This window comes from Homo sapiens, chromosome 6 (assembly GCF_000001405.40).
Source record: "Homo sapiens chromosome 6, GRCh38.p14 Primary Assembly".
Classification (NCBI taxonomy): domain Eukaryota; kingdom Metazoa; phylum Chordata; class Mammalia; order Primates; family Hominidae; genus Homo; species Homo sapiens.
Window position 1 is genome coordinate 139,648,298 of NC_000006.12, and position 7,462 is coordinate 139,655,759.

The 7,462-nt window shown below is 40.3% G+C and overlaps 1 annotated feature.

The window, feature by feature from the left end:
* Window positions 1-581: a transcriptional cis regulatory region, noted in NCBI's record as "candidate enhancer chr6.4973 targeted for multiplex CRISPR interference". NCBI's record gives its function as "positively regulates CITED2 gene expression in K562 cells {active_cell/tissue: K562}" and the evidence as "EXISTENCE:mutant phenotype evidence [ECO:0000015][PMID:30612741]".

Genomic DNA, 7,462 nt, shown 5'->3' on the forward strand with positions numbered 1-7,462 from the left:
AAAAAACGGTATGTTGCAGTGTGATGAGGCTAATAGTGGTATCTGTGCAACACACAGGTGCGGCACAGAAAAGAGAAGGATTGGTGTGAGTTTTGGGAAGGAGATCTACACAAGCGGGGGGCACTGGCGAAAGGAAGGTTGCAAAGAAGGGCTGCGTGAGTCAGGTTTTGAAAGCTAAAGATGAAGACTGATCTCTCTCTATGGGGGTTATGGCAGTCACAGATAAAGCCAACTGCTGTCCAATATTACCCCTAGTTTATCTTAAAAATCGTTGGTGGGAGCTGTGCAGAGAGGCCTTAACAGATATGGGAGCAAGCAAGTGGATTTGGGGCCTAACAGTGGCATGTGGTAAGCAGCCTGTGATCTTGCACCAGTGGGTGTCGTTCCACTCCCATCCCCCACCTCTGATGTAGCACACCCTTTGTTCTCCCCTTTCTTTCTTCCTTTGAGTAAATCTGTTTACTACCCAGAAAAACGAGGAAGGAATAGGCCAATTGCCCAGGGCAGATGGTGCGACGTTAACAGATGACACACAGAAAGCAGAACTCCTCAGCTCCTATTTTCCTTTTACATTCTCCAGCAAGGCTCTTCAAATGAAATAGCATGAAAGAAACATCATTAAGAAGAAACTGAAACACAAGTCCGTGAGAGATAGTGAGGGAACCCACTATCTGGTTGATTTAAATGGTTTCATGTGTTCAGATCCAAGTGAGTTATACCCAAATAATGAAAGAACTTACAGAAAAGACCAGTGAGCCACGAAGGAGACATTCTTTTTAGTGATTTTTCAAAAAGAATTTCTGGATAATTTAAAATGTGCTTCAAGCCTAGAGAAAGGTAAATGTTGCTCTCATATTCAAAGAAATATAAAAGATAAACTCACAGAAAATACCAGTTCATATTGATTCCCTGCAAACTTTTTTTGTTATTTTATTTTACTCACGTACATACAAATATACAAAGAGGAAAGGAGGTAGCAAGGCGGGAGAGAGAAAATGAAGGAATGAGAGAGACAGAGAAAGAGGGAGAGAAAACAGAGCAGAAAAGATAGAAAAGGGAGAATAAATTTATTAGCTTTATGAAAATTACATTAAGTTTGCACTGCTCAATTTACCTATGGTTGTGACTTCAATAATCCTGCAAAATTTTATAACAGCCAATTAAATAAGCATGATATGTGCCTTGAGAAAATAAAGGAGATGGTTAATCAGAACCAGAGGTTAATAAGAAAAAATTGTGCTAAACTTGGAGCTTTTTTCCTTCCCAACTTCCTTTGTCTTGTCTTTTCTTGTTTCCCCAGTGTGAGAAATTCCCCCTCCATTTTGATTTCACCCAGAGATGCAGCACTACCTACACCAAACAGAATGTGAATGTCTGCAAGTTCTACACAGTATTTCCCAGGAGCTAATTGGATCAGAAGAAAAGGCAGTGCTGATCACAGAGTTTGCCTGTCGGTCCCCAAACTGTATTTCTATTTTCCAAGTTCCTCATCCCGAGGCTTTCTTCCCTTTCTTCTTCTGTCAGTACCCATAAATCCTGGGCTTCTTCCTTATCCACCTCCCTCTTGTTCCTGTTCTGATAATCTTCCCAGTACATTTGTCCATCCAAGAACTGGCTGCTTGCTTGCTTTGGTCAGATGACTCCTCTTAGGGTCTGGATCCTTGATTGACAGCTGGGACCAGGAACCTCTGAGCAATCCATCCCTCCGATGCAGACTGTCCTTATGAACTACACTTACTATGAATTCCAGTTCCCTTCTCACACATTGGGCTCATTTCTGCTTCTTGAACTATGTCATCATTATTCCTCCATTCCATATTAATTGGACACCAACTCTTCAAAACACATCATTACCCCAGGATTAAGAGCCTAGGCTTTGGAGTAAGACTGTGCTTTTTAATCTCTAAAAGTTATAAATCACATCATATTTCTCTCTTGTTTCAAATCTTCCACAAAGTTTTCACCATGTTTAGAATAAAATCCCAACTTGTTACCATGACCTGTAAGGATCTAGATAATGTGGCCACTGCTTACCTCTGTCATCACTGCGCACCACTCTTTACCTTTATATATATATATGTGCCTTCTTTCTGTTTTTTAAACATGTCAGGTCTGTTCTTGCCTCCCGGCCTTTATACTCTTTTCCCTCAGATCATCACATTCCTGGATTGTTCTATTCATGAAATTTTGAGCTAAAGTTTCTTCTTGGGGGAACCTTCCTGACTACCCTGTCTAAATCAGTCCTCTTCTCCCACTACCAGTTAGTTCCTGGCACTTTATTGTGCTGTTTTGTCTTTGTGACACTTAATATCCTCTAGAATTACCTTGTGCATTTATTTGGTGACTTTGTTTATTTCCCTTGCCTTGACCTCCCAGAATGTAAGTTCCATGAGAGCAGGGTCTCTATCCTCAGCCCTTAGACAGTTTCTGGTATGTAGTAGGTACTCAATAAATAAAACGAATCAGTGAATGCTTGCTCCATACTTCCTGGGCTACATGGCTATGAACTAATTGCTTCCATGGGTTTTAGTTCCTTATCTTTACAATGTGGTTGGCAACTCCTGTTTCACTGGGATTTTGTGAGCATTGAATGGGATTACACAGGTAAGGTGACTAGAGCGGAGTGGGGAATAGAACAGGCACACAATAACATGAAGGGTTATTATGATATGCCAGTCTCCATGGAATGCCATAGGAACACAGAGATGATTCTAACAAAGTCCTTTTCCCAGAAGTGCCCAGTCATTATGTTTGAGCAGACGTTAGAATTGCTGCAGGCCTTGGACACCACACGCCACTTTCCCTGCTGAACCTCTCCTGGGAGCCAGACTCTCCCAGGGCCTGCCACATCTGGTCGTTGGGTCATGTTCTTAGGCCCGCTTATCCACATTGCCTTGTCTTATTGTGAATAAACAACCAAGATGCACTGATAATCCCCGAGATTACAAAACTAACCCAATCCTCTTTTATGGATGAAGCTATTAGACAAGTATTTCTAGGTATAACACAGGGTCTTAGTGTCTCTGTATTTTAGCAGAGAATATGACAGACATTTAGATATTATAGATGAATATGAGAATATGCCTCTTTGACATTAATTGCTATTTAATTAGATAAACCTGAAAAACTCCCAATGTTTTACAAGTTTAAAAAGCACTCTTAAGATTACAAACAGTAATGAAGATTCATAGGCAGAAGACTGGATCATTGAATTATAATTTGATTTGATTATACAGGGGGTGTCTAATTTATTCACTTCTCTACCAGTCTGTTGTCACAGTATCCTGAAAGGTGATGAGCCTCTGAGCCTAGTATCTCTGTCTTCTAATTATCTGAACATAGTAACAAGGCTACAAAATGATGTATGTAGCATGATACCATTTTGCTGAAAAATATATATTCATGCATGGAAGAAAAATAGCAGAAGGACACCAACATGTTAACAGTAGAAATAATATTTCAGCCTTTTTTTCCTTATGTTTTTCGAACTGTGCTGCTGCTTTGACTCCTTATGACTTTTGTAGGTCGAAAAAAAACTAATACAAATCAACTACTCACTTTTACAGGATGGGAGAAGGACGACCTGTGAACTTTTCTTGTTAGGAAAGACTCGGGGACTGAGGTGACTGTCAGTCTCAGAACAGCCATATCTGAGACGAGGACCAAGGACCAAAGACCAAGTAGCTCTGTCTGAGACAAGGACAACCTCCAGAACAGGTGGGAAGTAGTTCCCAACGGTGCATCATGACAGGTCTTGGTCCCACCTTTTAAGAGGCTTATTTTGAAGTTAGGGTAAACTAAACTTTGGCTTAATTTTAAGAATAAATTTGTTATAGGTATAGCTATGGAGAGAATGGCCATTTTGTTAGATTGTACAGTCCATCTTCAGCAGGTTGCCTTTCTCGAACAGAGATGCTAAAAAGAGATTTCTATACTGGGTGGAGAGTTGGACAAGATGTTATTTTATATTTTCTTCTAGGCTAGTAGACATCTTTATCAAACCTGCCACTCTTTCTACTTTATTACTTATACTATCTCTATGAGATGGATATTATTTTTATTAGTGAAGAAATTGATGCTTAGACGGGTGAAATAATTTGCTGAATACTCAAGATCTTGCAAGTTTCTTAGCTGAGATTTGAACTTAGATCTACTTGGCCTCCAAGCCCAAAATGTTCTATGATGTTCTGCTACTTTCCAATCTGTGATTCTGTACCCACTTTTTCACTTTCTTTTTCTCTTCTCTTTGTAGATTTCCACATTGCTTTCTTTCTGTTTCCATGACTTAGACAACAATGGCATCTGGTAATATCTTTGGCTTTGATTTGGTTCTTGGTATTGATATTTAAGGCAAAGAAATAAGTGGCTGACTTTTGGATAGCAGAACCATTATTTATTATTATTATTAATTATTGGCTTTGATGTAGCTGAAGAGATATTGGGTTATAATTTTAAAACTTCCAACGATGAGTGTCTAGAAAAAACAGTCTTAAGTGTTTAAAGATTATTCTTTTTTAATACTGAAACTTATAGTATGAGGCTTTCAGTAGAGAAGTAATAGGAGACAAATTGACAACAAATTGAAAATAAAAGCATCCGATTTAGTGCTGTTCTCATCCTGGGTTCCCCACATTTCTTTTATTTGCAGTGTGTACCTTCTTTCTGTGTGGAACTGCCAATTCTTCTACATGGATTAATCCCAAGGAGTAGTTTCTCTGCACATTCTCCACCAGACAGTAGCTCTTCATTAGGATGCCTTGATACTCTGATGTGGTGCCACCACATGTAAGTTACACTGACCTCCCTGGGACTTGCAGAAGCAGGGCCCATTCTGCATATGCTTCAGCCCCACTGTCAAAATCTTTGTAGTTGTGGCTCCCCGCTACATTTGAGTACTGTTGCTGCAGCAACGAGCTCAAGAAGAGCCTCTGTATGGGAATAGAGCTAAGGAGGATGCTAAGGCTCAGGCGAACTGACCCCTTGACAGCCTAACATGGAGGCTTTTATCTTTGAATTTAACACATTTGTCAACTTGACAGGGAGCTTGGGCTGCAGATTCCTGCCCTTGTGAGACTCTGAGGCCCGGCAGAAAGAGCCCAGGCATGGGAGTCAGACTCATGGGAGGGTGTGGGGGTAAATCCTGGCCATGCAACTTCCTGCACTAGGATCTTACTTCCCCTGGCTAGAATTCTATCATCTATAAAATGGGGTAATAATGACTGTTCACGGGGTTTTAGAGAAAATTAAATGGTTAATTATGCAGAAACAAGGATGTGGAGATAAACAGAGGAATACAAGCAAAACAATGGGGGAAAAAAACCCAAAAAACAAAAACAAAAACAAAACAAATCATAGCCCTGCTTCACAAATTCTTATGCCTGATTTTTGCCCTAGTCAAATATCTGTGAACTGTCATGGAGATATAGTCTTTGCCTGAGTATTTTGCCAGGCTCAAAAGAGCTATCTTTCAATCTGAGCAGTTTGATAACAATGCCCCCAAAACACTGTGGGATTACACATGAAAATGAATGCCAAGGAAAATAAATAAAATTGATTAACAAAGAGTAATTGATATTTAATCACAATTTGGGAAACACATTTTTGCCCTTTATTACAGCCATTCTGTCCTTTAAACTATTGTGTTTTGTCAAAAGAACATACACTTGCAGTGCTTGAGAGTGAAAAATAATACATTTTTCGAGCGTTCACCATGTCAGTGTCAGAATGGCAATGAAAGTAGTTATTAAAAACCTTAGCTGCACTTTCAAGTAAGAAATAAAGTAAAACATAAATTGCTTTCATGAAATGAAGCTAGTTACAATGATCAATGGTCAATAATAGTATGTGTTATTTATTCTTCTATGGAGCAAGGGGCAAAGAGGTTTGAAAATGACCGGTTAAATATCAGTCTATTTTATTTAATAAGTGATAGCTATTTCCTACATTAAACAAAACTCGGTCTACTTATCCAGAGCTCACATTTCAGTCTCAAACTCAGCTTTGGCTGAATAATCAGAAGCCATCATTGTGGGCCAAAGCTGGGAGATTTTTGGTAAGGATTCCGTGACATGGTGACACAGAAGACCAAATGGATTTGGTGAAGGCTGGATTACTTACACAAAGTCCAAAGATAAATTTAGTTGAAAATTGGTCACAGGTAGCCTTGCTGTCTCAAAGGGCATTTCTGACTAGACAAACAGCGTCTACCAACATCCCCTCCACTGAAATAAACAGCCGAGTGTTCCCTTGCCACAGGCTGAGTAAATACTAACTAAACCTTCAGCCTGTATGCCAGTCGGAGCAACACTCCCTATTTTTTAGCAAAATATTTTTCCATTCTGGCCATCCAAGAAAATCTCCAAATCCAATACACTTCAATGGAGTTTTTGGGCTTCTCGATTTTTCTCACTATTTATAGCTTTCAGATGTTGGCAGGTACAGGACTACATTTTCTTCAGAATAAAGTTGTAAACGGCAGCAGTGCTGTTTCATCATATACCACACAGTATTGAGTCGGTATTAAAACAATCCCTCTTCTTTACGAATGTCAACACTGACAAAGGCTAGAAAACAAAATAAATGCCTCACCAATATTGTATCAGTGGCCATATTTACATTGTGCAGAGTTTTGTGGAGTGAGGACGTGGGAATGGGATCCTGAGGAAAAGCCCAGTCTGTTCTGGGGTAACGTCTGTTCAGGTAATAGCATTTGTGAGGCTGAAGTACAAAAGTCCAGGAGGCCAGATCTGCCCCTTCTGTGAAACTAAGGCTGTGCAGGGCATAAAGGGAATGTAACAGTGCCTCCAGGCATATAGTATTTAATACATTACCAACTGCTTGCAAACACGACACCTTACTGGTCCTTAGAACAACCCTGGGCAATAGAAGGGGTAATTATTCACCCCGCTTTATGGATGAGGAAACTCAGTTTCAGAGAGATGACTTAACCGGGGTTACCTGGCTAGAATGTGGCAGAGCCAGAACTGGAGGCCCAATCTTCTGATGGCTAATCTTGCTTTTCTTTCCCAACTCACACTGCTCCTCCAAGAATTCAGCCCACAGAGCTTTCCCAGGCTCAGTGGAGAGACAGTCTGTTCACATGTAAAGGCCAGTGAATAAAGAGAAAGAGACAGTAAAGGGGTGGGTTAGAGAATAAAACCCAGTATTCCAGTTGCTAGAAAATGATTATATTGGGCAGGTCAGGAAGTGATAGTCAGGCACATCTGAAGTGTGGAAAAGTTGAATTTAAATCGCCAGTTTTGTCACTAACCAGCTAGGCGACCTTCCGTGTCCTCATCTGTAGAGCTTTAAGGACTCCCCGGGGATTGTGGTAAAATCACCACAATAAAGCCCTTCTGGGGTCACTTGAGAGACAACCTTTAAGATCTTGCCCTAGGCCACCTGTGGCAGGATTCGTCAAGGAGGCATGATGTAAACTAAGGAACTATAGCAACAGAGAGGG